This window comes from Homo sapiens, chromosome 17 (genome assembly GCF_000001405.40).
Source record: "Homo sapiens chromosome 17, GRCh38.p14 Primary Assembly".
In the NCBI taxonomy this organism is placed as follows: domain Eukaryota; kingdom Metazoa; phylum Chordata; class Mammalia; order Primates; family Hominidae; genus Homo; species Homo sapiens.
Genome location: NC_000017.11, coordinates 55,713,073 through 55,738,579, shown reverse-complemented (window position 1 = coordinate 55,738,579; position 25,507 = coordinate 55,713,073). Strand labels below are relative to the sequence as shown.

The window sequence follows — 25,507 nt, the reverse complement described above, 5'->3', positions numbered from 1 at the left end:
ATGGCCACAACAGTATTTCTCTTCCCACATAATCTCTTATATGACTTTAACACTTCTCTCACCAAGAGGTAGAGCCTGTGTTCCTTCACCTTAAGTTGGAGCAGACTTCTGACTACATCAGAAGTGATGTTCTGTGACCTCCAAGACTTGGTCATAAAAGATAAACAGCTTCCTGTTTCTTTTGGAGCTCTCTCAGAACCCAGAGATCATGACACTCCCTCCCTAAAATGCTCCAATGACTTGACAGTGCATTATATACAATTCAAACTTCTTGCCTACAAAGTCAGAACTTGGACATCATTTTAGAACCCAAAACCCAGACACCATCCCAGGAGGAAGCCCAAGCATCTTATGAAGACTATGTCTTGGAGGACATCTAAAGCGCCTGACCAACAGCCTGGCCTCAACAGCTCTGGAGCCTGAGCTCCCCAGTCGCAGTTAGCACCAACTTGCCAGCCATATCAAGGCGTCCTCTTGAAAGCAGATCCTCCCACCCACCCGTCCAATCCTGTTGGACTGCCCCAGCTAACACTATCTGGAGCAGACAGAGATGAGCTCTCACCACTGAGCCTGGGCTAAATTACAGATTCACAGGCAAAATAAATAACTCTTGTTCTTTTAAGCCACTGATATTTGGGGTTGTTTATTATGCAGGAATAGACAACTAAAATAGACATCCATCCTATATGACTGTCTTTTAAAAGAAGGAACATTAGAAATGAAGAAGTGAAATTATTTAAAAAAAAGAGACAATCTTATTTATAGTTACCTTTAGGTTTTGAATAGATATATCATGTATGTTAGTATAAAGAAAAAAATTATTTCTGACTCTCTCTGTGTAAAATAAATATATTAAGTTTATACTTCCTCTCACTAACATCTGCCGTTTCCTGGATTTGCTTATACCTCGGAATAAAAATCTGGATTAGTATTATTGTGGTTTAAGACATGCCTGTTCTCTGTAAAGAATTATAGTTTTACTTTTGTAAAATGTTTTTAAAGTATGACCTTATTGCTTACTTTGAGTACTTGTAAACTACATCTTCACTATTCATGAGTTCCTAATTTGATTTCACGCTCAAAATTCTGTAAACAGTGACTGCTTGGCATTCAGCTTTGGGGAAAATGGCTTGACTTCTATTCCCTTATAGAATACATGAGGCTTTTAAAGCCTTGATTCTTTTTATTTTTTATATTTATTTATTTTTGAGACGGAGTCTCGCTCTGTCGCCCAGGCTAGAGTGCAGTGGCGCGATCTCAGATCACTGCAAGCTCCGCCTCCGGGGTTCATGCCATTCTCCTGCCTCAGCCTCCCGAGGAGCTGGGATTACAGCCGCGCACCACCTCGCCTGGCTAATTTTTTGTATTTTTAGTAGAAACGGGGTTTCACTGTGTTAGCTAGGATGGTCTCGATCTCCTGACCTTGTGATCCGCCCGCCTCGACCTCCCAAAAAGCTAGGATTACAGGTGTAAAGCCTTGATTCTCATAGAAAGTTTTGTCTTTTATATTCAAGAATTTTGCCTGGATATATCTAGAAACATGGGGATATTTTTTCCATTTCTTTTCAGTTAATCTTTTTAAGTATCAAATTTAAATATTTCTTTGGCTCAAAATGTTCTCCTTCTATTGTTTTCACCTTTGCTTGTGTTCTTTCAGTTCCATTATATTCTCTGGAATTTCTACTTTGCATAGACTAAATCCCTTGTATTAGGAGCCCTTATTTCTTATCTTTTTCTCTCATTATTTTTATGTATTTAGATTTTACCTTCTTCATGAAAGCCAACTCTCATTTTTGGAGGTGAAAATTCTTGAATTTTATTGAGAAAAAAATTTACATCTTTACAAAATGTTCACTATTGTGTGCACACTAAATGTGAACTAATACTGCATATTTAGATGCAATTTAGTAGGAAAGAATAAGCAGTATAGGAAATGGAATGAGGCAGAAGTATTTAACAAAAGAGTGTGTATATTGAGATACCTGTCATTTGTAGCCCCTGAGATTAATTATTATCACTATTGGCCCTAGTTTCTATCATATATTCATGGAGAAGATGAGACATGAGAGGAAATTTTTTAAAAAAAGCAACAAGAAAAGCTGGAAGCAGACTTAATGTGTGCCCACAAAGATATTGTGGGACATCCTTGCAATGGAACACGATGTAGCCATTTCTGATTATCCGTTTATTGACATGAAAAGAGTTTGCCATGGATGGTTAATACAAAAAGAGAAAGTTTATACAAATTATATACAAAATATATAATCCCATTTTTATAAGAAAAATAACGTACATATTATGTAGAGAAGGCAGAGTGAAGATACAAAAAATATTGGTAGTTCTGTTGAAGGTGGAGTTGATGTGATTTTTATTTTTTACTTAGGTTTATCTATATTGTCTCATTTTTTACATTATAGCTAGGTTTTCCTGGTGCCACTAAAAAAAGAAAAAAGACAACATGATTCTTTAAAGCAATCATTTGTGTTTTAATGACTTTCAGGCATAGGCTGGGGAAAATTGCTTTTTTGTTGTTCAAAACAGTTAAATTTGCTAATTTAATACAGACTTGCAGTTGGTAGTCGGTAGAGGGCGCAGAAGAGAGAAGGAAGTGAGTGGGTAAAGCTGGTGTGTAGCTGGATTGAAAGGTTTCCTAACACTTAAAGGTTATTTTTATTTCCTTTTCACTCATTTATCCAAGAACATTTCTGAAAGATCATAGAAGCATAATTTCAGTTTGGCTATCACATCGTGAAATGTTTGGCATTATTTTATAGGGAAAGTCAAAACATATACTTTTAGTGGGTATAGGGAACTAAAAATAAATGAGTGTCTAGTTTATGCCAGGCACTGACATATAATTTATACACTGTAGTCTCCTATTGAAAATTTATTTTGAAAACTTTAATCGTAGGTTATAAACAGATTAACACAGCCTTGAGAAGGATTTTTTTCAAAGGATAGCAAATGATGTATTAAGGTTAATGAGTACTATGAGTTGGCCATGTCCCCACCCAAATTTCATCTTGAATTGTGGTTCCCATAATCCCCACATGTCCTGGGAGGAACCAGGTGGAGATAATTGAATCATGGGGGCAGTTTTCCCCATCCTGTTCTCATAATAGTGAGTTAGTTCTCATGAGATCTGATGGTTTTATAGGTAGCTTCCCCCTTCGCTGAGCATTCATTCTTCTCCTTGATGCTGCCGTGTGAAAAAAGACACGTTTGCTTTCCCTTCTGCCATGATTGTAAGTTTCCTGAGGCCTCCCCAGTCATGCTGAACTGTGAGTCAATAAAACCTCTTTCCTTTATAAATTGCCCAGTCTTGGACATGTCTTTATTAGCAGCGTGAGAACAGACTAATACAATGAGCTAAAAAGGAAATATTTAAATAAGAATTTCCATGCCTTTAGGAAAAATATAGTAAAATGCACATTGAAAAATTTTTTCAAAGTGAACATACTTTACTGGATAATATGGAAAACTGACTCAATTCTGATATAGCCAACAATAATTAAGTAGTTCTCATGTTAAGTGTTCTTACCACAATAAAATTTTAAAATAAATAAATAGATGTACCATAGTAAATCTAAACATGGATATATATTCTCCCATAGCTAAATATATGCAAAAAATAAAAACTTGTTAATTACCCTAAACCTTGTGCTACTTGTAAAAACAGATACATAGAACTCAGTGTTTTAAAAACAACATCTATCACCTCTTTCAGATGAAACATCTCCAAAGCCTATACTAAAAGGAACTTACTATTTCAAGCTTAAAAGAGGGGACCATGAAGTATAGGAAAGATTGGAAAATAAAGATTAGTCATGATACACTAAAAAGATTACAGAATGATTCAGATTGCCTTTTGAGATGATTAGAAATGCAAAGAAAATGGTAACGAGTGAGTCACTTAACCTCTTCAGGTTTCAATATGCCCAAATCTAAAGTGAAAGAGCTAGATTAGATAATTTCCAAGCCTTCTTGTTGCACTGTCAGTATATGTGTTTAGGACTTTTTGACACGTTTGTAGAGAATGTTACAGTTTTTAAGTGCTTTTGTACTCTAAGTGTTTGGGGCATGAAATGGTTAACAAGAAAGCCTGGCCAGCTGCAGCTGGTGGGGGGTGGGGGTTGATGGTGGTGAAGGGAGAAGCACAGTCCACATTTCCATGCAACAGGGGTGCTTCTTAGCTGAACACAATCTGGAAGCTAATTATTTCTGTAAAAGTAGGGAGAGTGATACTGTATATAAATCAGCTTACCACAGTGCTTGGATAGCACGGAGGCAACAGTAGTGGAATGGACAAAGTATAAAAGGAAGTCATAAAATAATCAGAGAGAGAGAGAGAGACAGAGAGTCAGAGAGAGAACGAGAGAGAGAGATGAGAGAGAGAGAGAGAGAGAGAGAGAGAGAGATACAGAGAGACTGAGAGAGACAGAGAAAGAGACAATGAAAGAGAGACAAAGCTCTTCTTGAAGGTAATAAATAATAGGAGAGGCATCCCAATGCAAAACCTGCTAATTTCCTATAACTGATATTAAGAGTCAGGAAGCAAGGAAGCAGCTGGCTGTCCTAGCACAGAGCAGAAAGGAAGAAGGACAGAAGAGGGTGCAAAGAATGGGATTTGCAGTTCCTCAAGAACAGAAAATCAGACAGGTCTGTAGCAGAGAAGGCTCCTTTAGGCCTGGTTGAGTCTTTAGCAGGAGGCATAACAGATACGGATGAGAGCGTTTGACCTTTAGGATATTCATAGTGTGCTGTACAGCATTATGTTAAGAGAATTCTTTTAACAATTATGTTGGTCTCATTCCATACTGGAGGTTCAATCATTTTCCATAAGATTTCTCACATTTATAATGTTCTGCATTAATGAAATCCTCCAGCTATTGTTAAAGTGGATGATATTGTGTGGGTGGCCCTGAACTTTCAATGTTTCCAGAGAAGGCAAATATGAGAGCAGCAACCTTTAGGTCACATTACTATAACCAGGGTTCTTCCTGCACTTTATACTTTCCCATACCTGCATAATGACCCAAATATGCAAGGAGGGCACTATTACCCCCATTTTCCAAATAAGGGAAACTGAGGCACGGAGCTGTTGACTTATTTGTCCACAGTCACAACGTTGCAAGCAGTAGAGCCAACCAAGATTGGCTAGGGTTTCTGACATCTAGTCCATCAATAACGCTTTGCTCAAGAAATGTGTATTTTATGTCTAACTATGCATTAGATGTTGTGCTTTAGTGTAGGGGACACAAAGGTTAATTCTGTACACTCGTTACTCTTAAGAAACTCTCAGTCTTTTAGATTAGAGAAGATAAACAAGCAAACAGCCACTTTCCACACTATTTTTTGAGGGCTATGATACATGTAAGCACAGAGCAGTATTTTCAGCCAGGAACATTTTCACGCCAGGGTGATTTGGCAATGTCTGAAGACATTCGTGGTTGTCACAACTGTGCAGGAGAGGAGGGGTTGCTACTGGCATAGAGTGGGTATAGGCCAGAGATGCTGCTAAACATTCTGCAACGAACAGGACAGCTCTTCACAATAAATAATTATCCAGCCCCAAATGTCAAAAGTACTCAGATTGAGAAACACTGGCATAAACATTACGGGAACATGGGGGAAGGGACCTCATGCTGCCTAGTCTGAAAATAGAGGAGGACTTACCAGGGAAGGTTTCTAGAAGCAGGTGATGCTTGAGGTAGTCATGAAAAGATGAGTAGACATCATCTTGAGCCTCCAAGAGTAGGAACCAACAAAGCATGACAAACATAAAATAATGTGTTGTTTGTGATTTGTAATTTGATCCAAGCTGGAGCTGAGACTGGAAAGAAAGGGAGAGGCCAGCTCATGGGAAGACTTGTGTGTCATGTAGAGATTCTAGACCTCAGATGAGGGGGAATCATGGATGGGTTTTAAAGAGGGGTGAGGCCGGATTTGCAAACTTGATAGCTTTCTGTATTAGCATTAAGCAGAGGATCTCAAACTTCATATGGATGCAGATAAAAAACACAAGTTTCTGACCTTTCAACACACACACACACACACACACACACACACACACACACACACACACACTATCCTGATGCAGTAATGTAGTAGGTCTGGGGTGGAGCCCAGAAACCTGTATTTTTTGCAAGCACCCTGTGTGATTCTGAGGCAGGTAGCACAAATCCTCCCTGGTGTACAGGACATATTTGACAGTGGTAAGATTGTAACCTTACCAAAAAGAAAATAAGAAAATTTGGAGAAGAGAGGAATATACAGTGTTACGTTTTTCTCTGCTTATGAGAACTGTGTGCTTATAAAGGAATCCACTGCACTGATGGAGGTCACACAGCAGCACAGCAGCTTCTTTCTGGATTCCGTGGGCTGGGAAGGGAGGTGCTCTAAGGAAATGCACAGTCCATGTGATCAGAGCACACCCTCTTGGCAGCCTCAGGGGAGCCCAGTTGCTTCTACAAAACCCGTGAAAGTTCTCTGTCCAAAAGCCTTGTTGGTCCCGCGGTACATGCTTCCTGTTCCCAGAGAGATTCACCCTTGGGCTTTCCTATCAGTCTTCCCTAAAGTTGGCTGCTCCTGTGTCCTGTCACATAAAACTGTGAACCGAGGTCTCCGACTTACGTCATGTCAGTCACAGCAGGGTGAGGCTCCACAAGTGTGAGTTCTGGCCCCTGCTGCTTTCCTTTCAAATGCAGTTTACAGTTTATTATGGTATTGGACACCCCATGCTCCTTACTGCATTGGCTTTGGGTAAGAAGGAGTGAAAATTAGTGTGCGAACCTGAAAACCTAGAATTTCTGATTGGGACTGAAGAAAACCTTTGTGCTGCAGTCAGTCCCCGAGCCAGACGCCTGTGACTCTCTTCACATGGAAATAGATGACTATCCACAGTAAAAGGTCAGTGGCTTTGCTGACAGATGTTGCATCAGGGAATATTTTTTTAAAAAAGAGGCTTCCTACAGCTGTTCTGGTAGCTTGTGTAGTAGTGTTAGCTATTTCCCCAAGTTGTCTTGTCTCAGTTCTCTGATATTCTGAGCCCAGATAGGATTTTTTTTTCTAAGAAAAGAATAATGAAGTATCTACAGATGGAATCCTGAGATCTGACAATAGAGCACTCAGAAGTTGGGTGACTTGCCCAAGCCACAAAGAGGAAAAGAATCAAACTCAAGTTTCTCGACTTTCAGTTAATGGCTAATTTTAATTGCATAATATTGGAGAGTCAGAAATGTTCATTTTATTGTGGAAGCGATCCAAAACCTCATGCTATAACCTAGATTCTAGAAAAAGGATGATCAAGCCCTATTAGCGCTGTAAAAATAAGGTAATCAAGCCCTATCAGTGCTGTAAAGAAAGTTTTGCAAACTAAGTTAAACTTAGAAAATAAATAGCAAGAAATAAATCAGGGAAGCAAGGTTTCCCTGAGACTACTGAGTCCATCATACTGGAAGTCATCCAAAGTTATCAACAGCAGATTCATTAACTGGGTACAAATGTACAGCTGGAATTCAAAGTAGACTCGGTGCCCTTCTGTGTGCCCTGATGGAAGAAACATCGTGTTCTCATTCTGTGGCTGTGTACTCTCTGGGGATCATTGGTTTTACCAAGTTTTTACATTGCTTTTTCAAAGACAATAATGCCTGTTTCCTGTATAGTTTATTTAAGTAAACAAGAAGGAGACAGCAAAGTTCTGTCTCCTTTACAAAACGAGACTTTAAAAATTTTATCTAAAGAAAGAGAGCAAGAGATCTGTTCTCTGCATTGTTCCATAAGATAAGTTCATTAGATAAACAGTTCTATTTTGAACTCAGTTCAGCTGGGCAAAGTGTTCTGTTTCCTACTACCCACACACATCGTGAATATCAAAGACTTTTTAAGAGGATAAAAATGCTCCCAAAAGATTTGTTGAGCTAGTTCTATCCTCAATTAATATAACACTACAGAGGTTCTGTGGGAAGGCAATGGCATTTTTTTTTCTGGTGAAGCAATCATTTTAAAACCCAAGAGATTATTTGAAGGCAAGTTTACTCCTTATGAGCTACAGAAAGCATGCCATCATTTGAACACAGAAACAATATTCCACAGGGATTAGGAAGACATGCTTTGGCATCAATCAGACTTTGGTTCTAGTCCTAGGCACCATTTTCCAAATGTAATTGAATAATTACTATAATTACTATTCATTTATAAATTACTATTTATCATTATAATGATAAGGAATAATTAATGTACTTAGCACTAAATATCTGGGTACTTTAAAATAATCCATTTAAATAATTATCTAAGTTTTAAATTTACATCCGATTTCAATGTAGAGTCATTATTTTATTTATTCATTGACTTATTTGGCAATGACTTTCTAAGCATGCAAAATTGTTGATAATGTCCTTGAGGAACTGACAGATGATTTCCCAACCAACATGTTCATGGTAAACCCCTCAACATAAAGGCTTGCTTCCATTGCATGAGGCCCAAAACAGGACATTCCAAAATAAATCTGTAGTGGATTTGGATTGCTATTTTTTTAAAGTATTCACTCATGGGGGCAACATAAAATTAGTTCTTAGTAAGGCAAAAGCGTTTCTCCATATGTGAAGTGGCAAGACAAGAACCTTCTATATATTCCTTCCTCATGAGTAGTACCTTAGAGTAGTAACCACTGGAGAAAATATTTTCATTACCAGAAGATATCTATGTAGTGCTTATTTTAAAATAATGTCTAACACTGTAAAAAAGAATTGCATAGTTATGTTCTTATTTTCAAGCAATTTAAAATTGAATGTATCATCAATAAATTCTTTGCATATGGTCAGTAAAAATAAAGTCTCAAATTGGAATACTTAAATTTTTTTTATTCTATGCAAAACATTAGCAATCTCACAGCTGGTGTGTATATATTGTATGTGTGTCAGCAAAATTGTGTGTGTGTGCATATGCATATGGAATGAAGTGAATTATAAAATTATTCATAATTTTACTCGAAATTTTATTTGTGAGCCTATGACAGAATTTTTTGACAATTCACACAATGCATCATAACTTACTAGTTAGGCAGTAATGCCAACCTTCTCTAGCATTTGCCTCTCCACCGGAGAAGTGAATAGCTACGCTAACAAAATTATCACATATTCCTCGCCCCACATCTACTCCTTGTCCTGACCTATTTCTGCTCACAGCAACCTCAAGCTATTAATTACTTAGTTTAAAACCTTACAAACTCCTCTCCCTTGATAACTTTCCCCACTTGAAATTCATTGCTGAGTTTTGCTGATTCTACCATTGCAGTGATTTCCTACCTGTCCGCGTTTGCCAATATCAGGTGCCCATTGCCTCTTACCTGGACAATCACAGAGGCATCCCAACTGGTGTCTCAACCTGCTTTCCCTCTTCCCCATATTGACTTTCCCTAGGACATGCCAACACTCTATAAAGTCAGGCTACTGTTTATAATGCACAGAGCTCACTGTGCAATCCTGTTCAAAACCACATTGCTCTCAAAAGAAAGTCCAAACTCGCCATCGAGGCGATAATCCGACCATAAACTATTTCCGGTCTTATTTTGACTGCTCTCTGCCTGCCCTGTGCTCTTTAAAATTCTGCCAAACAGGCTACTCAGTGCTCTTTGTAGAAGACTTGCACTTTTCAAAGCTATGCTTGAATACAGGCTGTTTCTTCCACCTAGAATCATGTTCTTTCCTTTTCTATTTATAATGTTAAATGCCTGTGTGCCATGAAGATTCCAACCTCCACCACCCCCTACCCCCTACACACACACACCCCTGGGCCTGAATTGATTTCATCTTCCCTGGGCCTTCCACAGCCGTTTGTTATTCCTTCAAGAAAAGGATTACCCACGTTGGTGTCCCTGTGACTTTCCTGTTCTGGATGGTAAACTCCATGAAAGCAGAGACCATGCTTTGCCCACTGTTTTGCATCTGCTCAGCTAGAGCATTTAGCAAGTTCCTGGCACCCAAAGGAGCACAGGAACTAAAATGCTTCTGAAGGCAGAGGAATGGCCTGGGTGACTTTTGAAGTGGCCTGACTGCTATGGCATCTTCCACGGATTCCGCAGGTACCAGGCCTATGTCTGTCCCGGCCTCAAACCTACCCAAATCTGCTTAGTAATGCAGCTCTATTTTAATGCTCAGATGTATACAAGGCAAAATACATGGCTTAATCATTCTAGAAGCAGTAGGCACCCCTTTTCAGAGCACTTTTCCCAAACTAAATCTAGTTAGAGGATATCACCCTGAACCCAAGAAAATGAGACTTAAGCTAAACTTAGGAAAATGTACATAATATAATTTTAAAAATGAATTCCTCACAACACAACATAGAAGAAGAAAGAGGTACCTAGATTTGAAACCTGGCTCTGCCACTTTAAATAAAATACAAATACCTGAGAGATGACTGTGTTATGGGTAGTACATGTTAGATGCTTGTGTTAATGTGTCCCTTTCCTCTTCAAACTGAGCACATTGTGTGCGTCAGTTCAGAAGGAAGGAGCCCAGGTTCTGGAGTTAAACCCAGAAACAGGGCCAGTCTCTGAACCTCCATTTCTTTTTTTCCCTCCCCATTTCTTTCTCAGCAAAATTAAAAAGTGACTTGTGAAAAATATCCTCCATGCTCCTCTTACCAAGCCTGCAACTTAAAACCTATGGTTTAAACTGTGCTTTCAATTATCTGGAGGAGGCCAGCACTGATGAGCCCATCCTGAGCCAGTCATTTTAAGGCCAGTGCTACCTAACTGAGACAAGGCTAATCTGGTCGGTAAGTATATTCTGCTCTGTGACTATGGAATGGGGAAAAGCTAACTGACCCTTACAGAGATACCATTGATTATCCGTTTTTAGGACACTTTACATGTTGCGAGGTGATTTCCAATTTCCAGTATCAGATTGGTGTCAAAGCCTAGAAATTGTACAGCGATTAGGAGTCGACTGGGTGCCACACAATGTTTATGTACATAATTTTATGACCAAGACAAGTGATATTTGGCACCTGAGACTAGGGGGAGATTTCTCCTGTAAACGAGCACCAAAGGGCTCCATGCTATCAGGTATAGGGAGGAGTGGCAAAGGGGTGAGGTCATTGTGATCCCTTCCCTTCTCCTCCCTGAAAAAAAAACAAGTATGGTGTGTTTCCTGCAAGCCCCAGAATATGTGAGCCTTAGCTCACTCACTAAGGGAGGCTGACCCTAGGAGTGTGCATTTGTCTTAGGAAAGAAAGTGTCAGCCCATTTTGAGGTAACTCTCGAACTTCGGGCTTCCTCATCTTTGGCCTCCAAAGAATAACGTACATAAACATAAAATGCGATGCAAAATGTATGGGGTTGTATCAGGATGGCAGGAGTTTCGGTGTATATTCTGATTTTGAGACAAGAAAATCAATTCTTCTCATCTGAGGCCAGAATGGTAATTAGTTCTTGTTGAAGTGAGAGATTATTTACTCAGCTCTATTTTTTTATGTTTATGTGACCTTTCATAGTTACTCAGAACAAAATGGGGTAAGAGAATGGGGATTGTAATGTGAATCTAAAAGATGTATGTTTCCCTTTCTATATTCAAATGGATCTTATGAGATTCCCATACCTAGAAATTGACCACCAATTAGTAAAATACAGATTTATATCTAAGGCACATTCATTGTTCCTCTTGGTACTATCAGATCTCTCTATTTAATGTCCTAGACCTCAAAGAAAAGTGTTTTGGAGGAGAAAAAAAGAAAAGGAGGAATAATAACATGACCTGCTATCCAAAATGAACACAGAAGCACAGATCACTTTCCAAAATGTCCATGATTTCAGAACATAAATGCAGGCACACCCTTAAAAGAAGCATTAGAGAGGAGAAAACCTGGCCAGCTTCCCAAATCTCCCTGCATCCAATTGGACTGGGTGATGACTGAGATCAAAGGCATGTGGTGATTGGACAGAAGGCCAAGAGGAACTGGCATCCTCAAGGCTGCTGGAAATTAGCCAGCTCAAACACACCAAGCAAAAGCAAATTGGAAATAAAGACAGGCGAGTAATCAAATGCACATGGGGGCATGCTTCACAAAATGCGAACTTCATGTGTTCCCAGAGGAGAAATTGCCAGGTCTTCAACAGCACAAACTCAATAGGAAAATCAAAACATCCCCTTTTGCAACCTTAGAGCCTGAATCTTTGGCTTCCACTTTAGGGAAATGGGCAAAATGACCTCTTTGTCATAGTACACACCATGCTCCCTGCCCTCCTCCACTCCCAGACCCCTCTCCCCTAAGTAACTTTGTCTTTCATTTTGTTTCTAAAGAAAAAAAAATGAGATTTTTGCAATTTGGGGCATTCTCTCTGGAACAGCAAATGTTCCCAGCTCTGCCGTTTACAATGCCTTTGGTGGAAGGTCACCTCGGAGGTGTGATTTTTCAGTATAACATAATTTCTATGGTGCCTTGACATCCTCCAATGAAGAGCACCAATAGGACCACTCCTCTGACATTAGGGAGAGGGTCCACTCAGGCACCAAATGCCATTCTCACCACTAATCCTAATCTTCCTTGTACTCCTTTTATTACCTGCATGTTATTGGGAAAGAGGATGGTTTATGGTCCCATTCCCCTACATACACACTTTCCAACCCCATACTCCCTTAGAAATGTAGAGCAAAGATTACGAATTCTTTTCTGCAGGTTCTGATTCACAGAGGGAGAGCATCAGAATGGGGGCTTTGGATAGGAAAAACCTTGCAAATTAGTGCCTGAATAAAGATATAAAAAGAGAAAAGTGAAGGAAGATATTCTTCTCAAACTTGATGCCCTTTCTCTCTGTCTCTGTCTGTATACACACACACACACACACACACACACACACACACACACACACACACACATATATATGGGTTACATTTTCATGGAGGACAACAGAGTAAAATCCAGCAGCATTTAAGGGATTTCCTCTTGCCAAATTGTCTCCGGTCCCTTAATTGTGTTTAAGCCTTGCTGAGTACTTTGTTTACGGTCCCTAATGTGGTGATTTGCATCCCCCTGTCTGGGTTGCTCTTGGCAGGGCAGGCAGCTGTCTCAGTCTAACTCTGGCTGGGAAAGGTAAGGATCTTTGCTTTGCTTTTTGAAAGATCTGGGAAGGAAATGTTGAATGTCTATGGGGGTTAGGGGCATAGATATAATTCATGCATTGGAGGCTTTGAGAAAAGTTCTCCAAACTTAAAGGAGTCTCCTAAAGCCATGTGCTTTAGAAAGAACTAGAGAGATTTCCTCTTCTTTGTGAAAATAGAGGGCTCGCAGAAATAAGGCTGGTTGCATTGTGGATGAAATTTTGCATTTGGGGGCAGGTGTCCCCAAAGGATGCCCAGGGGTGTTTAATACTTTGTAGACACAGAGTGGAAGGAGGAATAAACATTCAGAAACAACAGGCATAGATCACTAGGAATTCTCTTTGAATTTCAATTTGAAGAGGTAAAGTCAGTTAAAGCTGCATGTGTCAGTGGTTAGGATGACAGGCTTCTATTCTTCTGATACAATGTCTGCTTTATACCAAAACTTTCTACCTCTTTGAATTTAAAATACAAATCATTGGTTGTCTACTCAGAGTCTAGAGATGTGTACCTGTGTATCAAGGCAGGTGCACACACCCTGTGGAGGAGCATTGGTGTGAATGAGGCACCTGAGCCTGACAAGGTTGAAGAAAGCTTTGGTATTGGAAGTGATGACAGATTTGTGCTCCTAGGACACAGACACACTCACTGCGCCTCATTATAGACTCAGTCAAGGGCTTACTATGAAAAAAGCTGCCATTGTCCTCTCTCTAGACGTTCAATGTTTGCACCTTTAGCTTTGGTAACAGGAAAGCATGCTTTTCAACAGAATAAGGTGATATTCAGAGCTTCAGTGCAGTTATTGGGCTATCTTGCAGGCAAAGTGGTACTAGAAAATAGAGGGGAATTGCCCTCAAGGGCCAGAGTTTGCAGGTGAGAAGACAGCTCTGTTAAGGAGCTTCTCAAGAACCTCCATTGTACGTAGCCAGCGGCCCCCATCTTACCATCTTCCGGGGGCAACTTTGGCAAGTTCTGAAATGCCCTGGTTCTAAGTATTCCTGACCCTCAACACCAAGTGACGGTACTCCTCAGATATGAAAGCTGTCTCTTTAGGTCTGACATTTTTAAAGTGTGAGGATCATGGTGACCAAGGCCTCCAGGTACTTGCCATGACTCCCCCAACCTCAGGGACTTTTCAACTTTATTTTTTATAAGGACATAACCCTCTCTCTGGCTTTCATTCCAGAATAAACAACTTCTGGTCCCTCTCTTTTTGTGACAAGTCATCAGGGTATTGCTACAAGGCAAGGCTGGAGAGAGTGTGCTGTGGTAGAGGAGAGGCGAGATGTTTGAGAACATCCAAGCCCTTTGCCAGCTATTAGAGAAATCTAACAATTTGAGAGAAAGATGGAAAACAAATCTCTTCCAAGAGTTAATTTGGATTTGTGGTTCACAGTATTAATTAGAAGAGGTTATTAACACTTGTGCAGATGAAAAAATGGAGGATGTAAACTTTTAACTACAGAGTGTAGGATGAGCTCCCAGTATTATCTTTTCTCCTCAAAAAGACAATCTTGGGCTTTATATGTTTCAAGGTTTTAAAAATTTCACAGTTTGTCTGTAAGAAAGCATAAACCTATAAAGTCACTTACAGGTTTATGGGGTGGGAAATAGATGTTTAACTTTATTGTTTAAGTATGATGTGTCAAGTTGTATATGTTTGAATGTTTAAAATACCTTGATCCTTAAAGTGGGCCAAGGAACAGAGGTCTCAACATAGGTAGGGAGCTTGTTACAGACTTACTGAATCAGAATCTAAATTTAACAATCTCCCCAAATGATATATATATCCATTAAAGATTAGGGTTCAAACCAAGGGTGTCTCTGTTACTGGGTGATCTTTGTTAAATTACTTAACCTCTCTGAGCCTGTTTCCTCATTTATGAACTAGTGAGAATTAACATTAATATGTGACATTTCTTAATATTGTGCCATGTCCACAGTAGGTGCTCTATAAATGGTAGCAATTATCATGATGATGATAATCTTGGTGCTGCTAAAGTTACCTCCTTGCAAAAGCAGTAAACAATCATGTTTAAATCAATATAACTGGCTTTCCCCCTTAACCACAAACATTTGTGCCTCCCACCCTCATTCCTAAATGAATTAACACTCAACAAGTGGGGTTTTAAGCTTCAGATGACTATCACGCACATATAAAGAATAATGGAAAACCTAGGAACATGGATTTTTGCTGGCTTAGAGACTGAATTCAGCTGCCTGATGACTTCACAGCTGTTTCTGCCACCCTAGAGTATCTGTCCCCTCGGCTCTGTCCCCTCAGCCGGGTCTGCAACGCTGACTCTGGGATTTTCTTATAAAAATGCCTGATGGACGGGAGGAAGATCTGGAGGTCGGCGGGGGAAAAAATGAGTCATTCAAATTCACAAAGCAGTCCGCTTAGTAAATGCTGCAAGAGAAAAAGTAAAAGCTGGCTCCTGTCTCTGGGGAATCTGTAGAAATGATTCGGACTCATCATGTCACTGAGCAAAGCTGGGGGAAGCCAAAACTCAGAATCTGCTGGCAAGGAAAAGAACGAAGGAAAAAAAAAAATGTTAGGGAGGGGCAAACCCGAGGGGGAGGGAATAAAAAGAGAGAGGGAGGGAAAGACAAGCGTCATTTAGGAACAGAGGTAGCCTGAAAGAAGCAGGAACTCCAGGATCCCAAACCAGAGCAGACCCTATAGTAAAGTATTTTTACATCTTTTCCTTTCCCCAGAAGAGATCCCTAACCTATTGTTTTATTGACAGCCTTGCTGTTAGAGGCTCTTTCCCAGAAGTTGGACGAAGAGGCTCAGGCGTTGCTGTTTCTTGTCTTCCAAGTCAAGTGGTTACTCTGGTAATGGATTGCCTCTCTCCGAGGTGAGTGTAAGTAATTTGGGGACAGATCTTGATTTTCAGGTTAGCTCAATCTCAGCTTTGGGGTGAAGTTATTTTTTTCAGACATAATCTCAAATATCTTTTAACTGGCCTCACCAGAAGTTAGGGTGTCATTGGACAACAGTGATTAATTAGTTTGGTGATTAAAAATGACATGTGAGTAGGCAGCTCTAAGATTTAGTTTCATTGCTCAGGGAGTGATATTTTGACTTTCCAGAGCAGGGAAGAACCAGTGAGGTTTGATTTGGAGTTGAATTTGTTTTCAGTGGATGCTTAATATATTTAAAGTATGAATCTCATTGAAATGGTCTCAAGTATCTTTCTTTAAACTTGTTCGGTAACTACAACTGCTCAACTGTGTAGCAGCTAGACAGCTTTTTGAGAATGGAAGACAGTGACTCAACCATGTCTGAGCAGCAGACAAGTTTTCACTGATTTCTCATAGACAGCATTTCAACCAGATACTTTTGATCAAAAGTCTCAAGCTTTGTCCTGAAATGTTCAGGTACGAAATACTTAGAAAGGGTCATTGCAGCAAGTTTTATACACAAAGGCATGGAGGAAAATGAAGGTTGTGAAAGTTTCCTGAAAACCTAGCATGCTTATTTGTTTCTGCATGTTGTAGTATACATAATATCGAAATTTTGTGTTGAGCTTAATAGAAAATTTGTGAATTGACAGCTAATTACTCAAATAATTGATTTTATTTTGCCAAGAGAAAGCACAAAATTATATCCTATGAAGGGGTTGAATTTTTTTTTCTTATTTTTTCTCTTTTATAGCAGATTGGAAGATATTGTTACACTTCAGACCACAAATCCCCACCTCATTTTCAATGAATTTTTTGCTGAACTGTCCACCTAAAGTGGGTAATAAAAAGATCCCAGGGAGCAGGTTGCACTGTGTTTAATAGTAACACAATAAAGATTTGTTGGCTGTCATTCAATGGAGAAGAACATCATTTGTTGCTGGCCACTTGCCTTGACATTGATTTTGTGGGCAGCCAATGGGTGATAGTTTGCAAAGAATGCATGTTATGCCCAGCAAGATTGGCGGAGTCTGAGTTGCTGTAAGTTCTGGGATTAATGGTACGAAATATTGTTTGTAATGTATTCTCCTCTTGAATGAGACCATCTTTGGATTAGGATTCAGGCATTTCTGTGTATTCAGAGGAAGGAGAAGCAATAGACAAAGCAGAAAAGCTTGTAAAACTTTTGTAGACCGCCAGGGTATATTAAACACTGTAAGTGCTTCCTGCTTTTTCTGTCTTCCCTTCATATGCATCTGCTTCATCTTATTTTTTGCCTAAATGCAAAGAGAATGCAACCAATTCAAAAAAAGAGTAAAGTTGCTTTTCACATGGATCTGTGCCTCCTAGAAAGGAGGTGCCTCCCCAGCTTTTCATTTCTGCTTACAGGGTGTACATTCTGATACATGTAGCTGACATCTCCTGTTATCTTCACAGCTTTCACCCTGGTGAGACTGTCCAGATCTAGTCTGTAAACCCAGCTTAGAAGCACTGTTGTAAAAATGACTGAAGAGCCCATCAAGGAGATCCTGGGAGCCCCAAAGGCTCACATGGCAGCGACGATGGAGAAGAGCCCCAAGAGTGAAGTTGTGATCACCACAGTCCCTCTGGTCAGTGAGATTCAGTTGATGGCTGCTACAGGGGGTACCGAGCTCTCCTGCTACCGCTGCATCATCCCCTTTGCTGTGGTTGTCTTCATCGCCGGCATCGTGGTCACCGCGGTGGCTTACAGCTTCAATTCCCATGGGTCTATTATCTCCATCTTTGGCCTGGTTGTTCTGTCATCTGGACTTTTTTTACTAGCCTCCAGTGCCTTGTGCTGGAAAGTGAGACAAAGGAGCAAGAAAGCCAAGAGACGGGAGAGTCAAACAGCTCTCGTGGCAAATCAGAGAAGCTTGTTTGCTTGAGACTGAATACGACCAAATGGGCCATTGGGCCTGGAAAACGTGCTCTGACTTTGTCACCCAATTCACCCAGAACCATGGTGGGAGAGAACAGACTTGGCGTTGGAGCAGACTGGAAGAATGGGGGTGGGAGGGTGGAGGGGCTTCTCCTTTGTGAGGAATGACTCATGTCTTCTTTAACGACAAACTTAACCCTAAGGGCTACTTCTGAGACTGAAAAATCAGCTTTCTATTTACATGAAACACTTTGGGGGTCATGGGAGTGCACAGCATTAGACAGTATTTGGTTCACCCTGTAAAGTAGCCAAGAAAAGATGAGAAAAATCAAGATAGGCCTGGCACACTAGACATTTGCCTCCAAAAGAAATAACCTACAGTCTTAAGATGTATCATAAAAATGTTCTGCCAAGGATCTAAATTACCTTGGGTTTCGCATATGTCTATGAAATTCTGTGATAATTTTTTTCAATACATTGATTCACTGGCGTCTGTTTTCATTTTATACTTTTAATAACTCATCACTGGTGGTACTTTATCTTGAAAAGTAATATTTTTTATATTTTAACATTGGACAGTGTTAGCCAGTTGTAATGATGTATCAGAAGTAAAGAAAAACCCATTAAAGTTATAGCTAATAGATGCTGTTGGGGGTTAAATTAATAGTAAAATAATCCAATATAGCACTTTTGATGATTTTTATATAAAAGTCAACTGTACATTTCATTCAGAATAATAAATACTTATTGCTGCTAAAACTTCTTAAATGGTTGTTTCTGCTATAGTTATTTCTATTGCAGTTCCAAATTGCCATCTTCCCTTGTCTCATTTGCAAGTTCTCAATTGTATTTCTCTCAAATGGACAGGTTCCTTCTTTACTGGAGGATTTTTGTTTTTATCATATTGGTTTTTCATTACTTCTGAATAGTCTTAATTACGTTTACTAAATTCTAAAGGATTTCTGTGCTATTATAATTAGGAAATCAACGTCTTTGGTCAGGAACTTTATAATGTGCTATTAAATGTATATTACATTTTTGTGGAATCAGTTGTTAATTATTTGCTTAACACGTATGCCAGCACCAACTATATGCCAGGCATAATGTAGATTCTCAGGTTTCTTACTCAGTTAGATCTAATACAATGCAAATAAAGTTACTGCTTGAATTCTTCAGTGGACATTGAGCTAGTCCACAGCTAGGACTCTACCCTGTAACTCCAGCCAGAAATACAGCTCATTCATGTAGTTTAAACCACCTTAAGCTAGAATCGAAAGATAGGCATGAAGGTTTCTTAAAACTTGGAAAACAAAATCAGCCTAGCATAGCACACTCATTGAAAGTCTTTCTGTCCAGAAATTTAATTAAACATGACAGGAGCCCTGGGGCCCTTACTACTCCCTCATGCTCAGGTAGTTTTGGTAAGTGGAAACACCCTAAAAATGACTTTGCAGGTCAGATGGTGTCACGTACAGATCAACATTCCTCCCAACCAAATGCAAGTTTAGGGGGCTGTGCTCATTTCAATGCAAGTGAGTCTGTGCCTTCACATGCCTCTTCTCCGTGCAAAGATACTCAAAGCCCACCCCCCACCCCGCCACCGCATTGCTGTATTAAGAAATTACTCAGACAAGGTTCAAGATTCTCCAGTCTGATCCAAAAGGACGTATCCAGTTTTCATACTCACTCTAATCCCCAAACCTCCTTATGAGTTAGCCAGAATAGACTATTCACCATTCTTGCACCCGACTTTGGTTTTCCTGCCTCCATGTCTGTCCAAACTTGTGTTTTCCCTCGCTTATAGTGCCATTGTTTCCTTGATTTTAATCTCCCCAAATCCTGCTTCTCATCAGCACTCAGCTCAAATGCTACCTCTTCCCGGAAGTCTTCCCTTTTATCTGAAAGTAAATGCCCTTTCGTGAGTTCATCTTTTATTCTCTGATGGCATCTTTTATTTTCTGTCGTGTTGGTGGCATAAGTTTTATCCTTATTCCAAAGCTCCTTAGAAGTGTGTGATAGATCCTCTTTTTAACCCTAGTGAAATGCCTAACATAATGGCTTACGGAGATTAAGTACTCAATAAGTACCTAATTAAGGTGCTAAATGAGCCAAAAAATAAAAAATCAGAAAGTGAATGGTTTATCCAGAATTATAGTCCATTCTAATCTCGTTAAAGAAAAAAGTTTAGTTCTCATTTTTCCCCCAAAGAGGCCATCTCACTCTCTATTACACCTCCACTGTAAGCAGCAGTTGGAGGCGAATATTTACTCTCTATTCTTCTCTAGCCTGACCTGGCCTTCAAAATGCTTGAAAAGCAAACTCATGAATTATTTCCGGCCACCAGGGGGCCCCATGCAGCTACTTGAGTCCCAGAAGAAACAGTTCTATGGAAAGACCTAAATTGTAATAACCAAAATGGGATCAAATCTCTCCTAAACGTGAGGAGTTGGTGGAGATTCTCCATTTATCCCACCCTTACACACTTCCCTAAGCCACTTCACAGTGGCTATCTTGGGGTTCTGTTAGTACGGGAAAGACTTGCTCCATTTAGGGAGCTTCTAGTCACATTAAAAGGTATATACTGTTACATAGCTGCACGGCGCAGAGATAGTTCTACACACTGTGAACCCCAACTCCCACGAGGAGAATAAACTCAAATTGGGATTACAAATTATCACAATTATCTCATAAAATGTTTTTATTGGGTAAGGTCTATCTTTACAAATGGTTGTATTATATACAAATATGCAGGTGCGACAGAAAATAAATGAATGCATATAAAATGCATGCATAAATGTATTAAAAAGATAATCTGACTCCTCCCTAGAATATCAGAAACCAGCTATATCACCTAGTGGAATTCCCCCTAAACACAGACATCCCAGAGTGCACAGAAACAACTTTTAACCTTGTTCTGTGCAGCTGGTCTCTGGCCCAGGTGAGAATCATAGCTGTATGGTGGCTCTGCTCCCCATCTTACTCTCTTGGTTAATCTAGGGAATCCTGCCTGGAGAAACTGCACAAGGAGATCACGTGATAGCACAGAAGTTTGAGGCCAAAGGATGAACCCCAGAGAGCCAGATCACAAAGCCTCAAACCTACTTTCCATCACCCGCTCCCCCCCACCATCCCTAAAGAGAAAGAGAGGAATACAGGTGAGAGAGATGTTAAATAGGCGATACATATTCTGGTCTCCAGGCAAGTATTACGGTTCTGAACTTGGAAGATCTTGATATTATAGTGCTCGATAGTGTAACAGCACTCAACTGTACCTGATATTCTTCACCACACTCTGAGGCTGGGAGTATAAGTGTTCACTCCACTTTACAATTGAGGAAACTATAGTTCAGAGAGGTTAAGGGACTGTTCAGCTAAGATCTCACAGCAGGCGAGGCCTAGCACCAGGAACAATAGGTTGACCACACATTGTAGTTGCCCCAGTGTCTTAAACCTCTGGGCTGCTATAACAAAAGTACCATAGACTGGGTGGCTTATAAACAACAGAAATGTTTCTCTCTCACAGTTCTGAAGGCTGCGAAGTCCAATATCAAGGTGCCAGTATATTCCATGTCTGCGGAAGGCCCACTCTCTGGTTCATAAGTGAAGCCTTCTTGCTGTGCCCTCAGATGGTAGAAGGGGCAAAGGAGTTCTCTGTGGCCTGTTTTACAAGGGTGGTAATCCCATTCACGAGAATTTCACCTTCATAACCGAATAAACTCCCAAAAGCCCCACCTCCAAATACCACATTGAAGATGAGATTTCAACATATAAATTGGGGGGTGGAAGGGAACAGACATTCAGTCTATAGCACCCAGTTGTTTTGTTTGTTTGTTTCTTTTTTGAGACGGAGTCTCACTCTATCGCCCAGGCTGGAGTGCAAAGGTGCGATCTCGGCTCACTGCAACCTCTGCCTCCCCGGTTCAAGTGATTCTTCTGCCTCAGCCTCCTGAGTAGCTGGGACTACAGGTGCCCGCCACCACGCCTGGCTAATTTTTGGTGTGTGTTTTTAGTAGAGACAGGGTTTCACCATATTGGTCAGGCTGGTCCCCAACTCTTTACCTCGTGATCCGCCCGCCTTGGCATGCCAAAGTGCTGGGATTACCGGTGTGAGCCACCACGCCCAGCCTATAGCACCCAGTTTTATGCTTAGCCATAACCAAAATCATTTCCAGAATGTCTCTTTAGCAAAAGGAGACAATACAGGTATTACAACATCTACTTTTGAAAAACTCTTGTTAAAGTATAATTTACACAGAGAAAGTTGTACAGCTCAATGAATTTTTATAAACTTGTGGAATTAACATCCAGACAAAGATACTGAATATTGCCAGCACCCAAAAGCTCCCTTTGTATCTACTTTCCATCAGTATCTCTCCAGGCGAAACCACTATGTGGCCTCTAACACCCAGAGTTGTGTTGCCTGTTTTTTAACTTTGCATCAGTGGAATCGTATCAAGTATACTATTTGTTCCTGGCTTCTTCTTGCAACATTATGTTTATGAGCTACAATCTATATGGTTGTACGTAGTTATAAATGGTTCATTCTTATTGCTGTGTAGAATTCCATTGTACAAATACAGTATCATTTATTTAGTCTTTCTACTGTTGATAGACATTTGGATAGTTTCTAGTTTTTAATGACTGAAGATAGTATTTTTGGTAGCCAGCCTCTAACGGTATCACATGATCCCGGACTCCTGGTATTCACAGATTCTGTGGCCTCCTCCCACATTGTCCCAGAGTTGGTTTGTGTAAACAATAGAATATGGCAGAAGGGGTAGTAGTTGACTTCCAAGATTAGGTTATAAAGACATCTTGTTTTTTCTCTCTTTTGATTGCTCCCACTCTCCCTCACTCCCTCTTTCTCTGAGGGAAGCCATCTACCATGTCCTGAGGTCACTCAGGCAGCCATGCAGGGGCCCATGTGGTGAGAAACTGAGGTCTCCAGCCAACAACTAGAGAAGAACTAAGAACTGCCAGCCACTACCTGAGTGAGCATAGAAGTGGATCTTTTCCCAGGGGAGGCTTCCAAGGACTGTGTTCCCGGATGACAGCTTGACAGACCTCATGAGAAACCCATCCAGCCAGGGCTGCACGGTGACTTTATGGGACCTATGCACTTTTGTCTTTGTGGGCCCCTTCCTCCATTACAACAAAAAGGAAGTATCTCACTCACTGGAAGGAGGAAATTGTACTAACAAGCATCGTGGTCCCTAGGCCTGGTGCCTGCCGTACCTAATGGGTACCTTGGCCCTGAACCCAGCTAAGTTATTCCCAGATTCCTCACCCACAGAAACTGTGAGATAATAAATGTCTGTTGTTTTAAGTTGCTAAGTTTGGGGGTAATATGTTTTGCAGCAGTAGGTAGCTAATATTGTGCTATGATGAAATTTGTTCTACATGATTTTTGATGTACGTATGTGCATGTTTCTGCTGAGGGTAGACCTAGGTGTGGAATTCCTGGATTAAAGGACAGTATGTGTTCAGCCTTATTGCCAGAAAGTTTTCCAAAGTGATTGAGTCAGTGTACTCTCCTGCCAGCACTCTTCAGAGTCTGGATGCACTACATCTTCAGCCATTTTTTAGTATTTTTCATCTTTTTTCATTTTAGCCATTTTTATGGGTGTAACATCTGCTTTTAAAGTTTTAAGAAAGGAGACGTAGCACAAGAATGTGGGCTTGATACAGCATAGCAAGTTAGAGATAGGAGAAGGATTTGGAATGGGAAAGTAGGATTTAGATTTGGACTTTGGAGGAGCAAAGCAGCGAAAGAGAAATTCTCGGGAAGTGCTCTGGAGATCAGGAAACCAAACTAGAGACTGGAAGTTTAAGTCATCGCAGTCCCAGCTTCAGCATTTATCAAGCATCCATTATGCTCCAAAGGTCATATTCTGAGCTCCACATGGAATATCTCATTTGATCCTCACAGCAGCCTAGTGAAATAGATACCATTATTGCCTTCATTTCACGGATAAGGAAACTGAGACATAGATGAAGCCATTAAATGAGATCACATAGTGAGCACACTTAGGGCCTGAGTTCAAAATCCAGAACCCACTCACTTAGCCACACTGCCTATCCTGCCTGGTACACAGTAAACTGTCAGTACCTGGTTCTTGAAGGAATGTCTCAAGTAGAAGCTGAGCAACACAGTCTCAGGTGTCTAAGCTAAAGAGTGGGGCCAGGTGGAGTGGCTCACGCCTGTAATCCCAGCACTTTGGGAGACTTTGGGAGACCGAGGCAGGTGGATTATGAGGTCAGGAGTTCGAGACCAGCCTGGCAAACATGGTGAAACACAGTCTGTACTAAAAATACAAGAAAATTAGCCGGGTGTGGTGGCGGGTGCCTGTAGTCCCAGCTACTCAGGAGGCTGAGGCAGGAGAATCGCTTGAAATCAGAAGGCAGAGGTTGCAGTGAGCCGAGATCGCACTGCTGCACTCCAGCCTGGATGAAAGAACAAAAAACTCTGTCTCAAAAAAAAAAAAAAAAAAAAAAAAGAGTAAGGTCAGCAACAGTTTTGAGAAACCCGGACTAAAATTAGAGATTATTATGGAATGATTTGCCATCTGAAGCCAGGATTTTTTCTGACAACCTCCATATATTTGCAGCATTTAACAAATATCAAAACACTCTCTCCTGAGTCTTGTGAGGCTCAGGACCCTAGCCACATCTTCTGCCACCAAACATATGGCTGATGCTTTCATTCTCATCCTCCTTGAGTTTCCCTTGTGGAAAATTCAAGATTCAGATTATAAGCCAGCCTCAGCCTGCCACTAGATGCACAGTGCGAAGGAAGTGCATATTTGGAAACCGTAACACATGTCAGGGGAAATCAAAGAAGGCTTCCTGCAGGTGGTGACTTGATAAGCCCAGGACAGACAAAGGAGTTAACCAGGTGATGGGAATTGAGGAGGAGCAATCAGGAGCACTCACAGATGGAACACCATAAGTGAACATCAAAAGGTGATGGTGAGAGCTAGCCTTCAGCCTCTCCACCTTACTGGGTGAAAATTAAAGAATTTGTTAAGGATATCTATCAACCGCAAAATTCTGTCCAAGCAAAGGGGTTAAATAACTCCAATATCCATAGAGCTCAAACCTATAATCAGATAATGAAATGTTCAGGTTTTTTTTTTTTTTTTTTTTTTTTTTTTGAGACAGAGTCTTACTCTGTCACCCAGGCTGGAGTGCAATGGTGCTATCTCAGCTCACTGCAATCTCTGCCTCCCAGGTTCAAGTGATTCTCCTGCCTCAGCCTCCCAAGTAGCTGGGATTATAGGCACCCACCACCACACCACCACACGAGGCTAATTTTTGTATTTTTAGTAGACACGGGATTTCGCTATGTTGGCCGGCTGGCCTCGAGTTCCTGACCTCAAGTGATCTGACCACCTCGGCCTCCCAAAGTGCTGGGATTATAGGCGTGAGCCACTGTGTCCAGCCAAATATTCAGGTTCTTATATTGCACAAGCACTTGGGGATCATTAATAAAAAAAATTATAACTAAAATCTTTCTCCTCATCATCATATCACATACTATCTTCCTAAAGACACCATAGCACTGTGGTTAAAGTACCTGGGCTTGGAATCCAGCTTTATC

The 25,507-nt window shown here is 40.5% G+C and overlaps 1 protein-coding gene across 7 annotated transcripts, besides 1 other annotated feature; it reads left to right on the top strand.

Moving 5' to 3' along the window:
* Nucleotides 1-697: a transcriptional cis regulatory region, noted in NCBI's record as "candidate enhancer chr17.3823 targeted for multiplex CRISPR interference". NCBI's record gives its function as "positively regulates PCTP gene expression with high confidence in K562 cells {active_cell/tissue: K562}" and the evidence as "EXISTENCE:mutant phenotype evidence [ECO:0000015][PMID:30612741]".
* On the top strand, nt 6,499-18,953 carry TMEM100 (transmembrane protein 100). Of its 7 annotated transcripts, XM_047436341.1 has the most exons (5): nt 6,499-6,909; nt 10,598-10,779; nt 11,699-13,092; nt 15,851-15,961; nt 17,445-18,953. In XM_047436341.1, the coding sequence occupies exon 5, from the start codon at nt 17,510-17,512 to the stop codon at nt 17,912-17,914; it is 405 nt and encodes a 134-aa protein (XP_047292297.1). In that variant the 5' UTR covers nt 6,499-6,909; nt 10,598-10,779; nt 11,699-13,092; nt 15,851-15,961; nt 17,445-17,509; the 3' UTR covers nt 17,915-18,953. The 7 variants fall into 7 exon arrangements, with proteins under 7 accessions (XP_047292297.1, NP_001093110.1, XP_047292298.1 ...); NM_001099640.2 differs by lacking the exon at nt 11,699-13,092; XM_047436342.1 differs by lacking the exons at nt 10,598-10,779; nt 11,699-13,092.
* The last annotated feature ends 6,554 nt before the right edge of the window (nt 18,954-25,507 follow it).

What these genes read in the sequence shown, in the direction of transcription:
- TMEM100 (XM_047436342.1), top strand. Translation starts at nt 17,510, where the DNA reads ATGACTGAAGAGCCCATCAAGGAGATCCTGGGAGCCCCAAAGGCTCAC.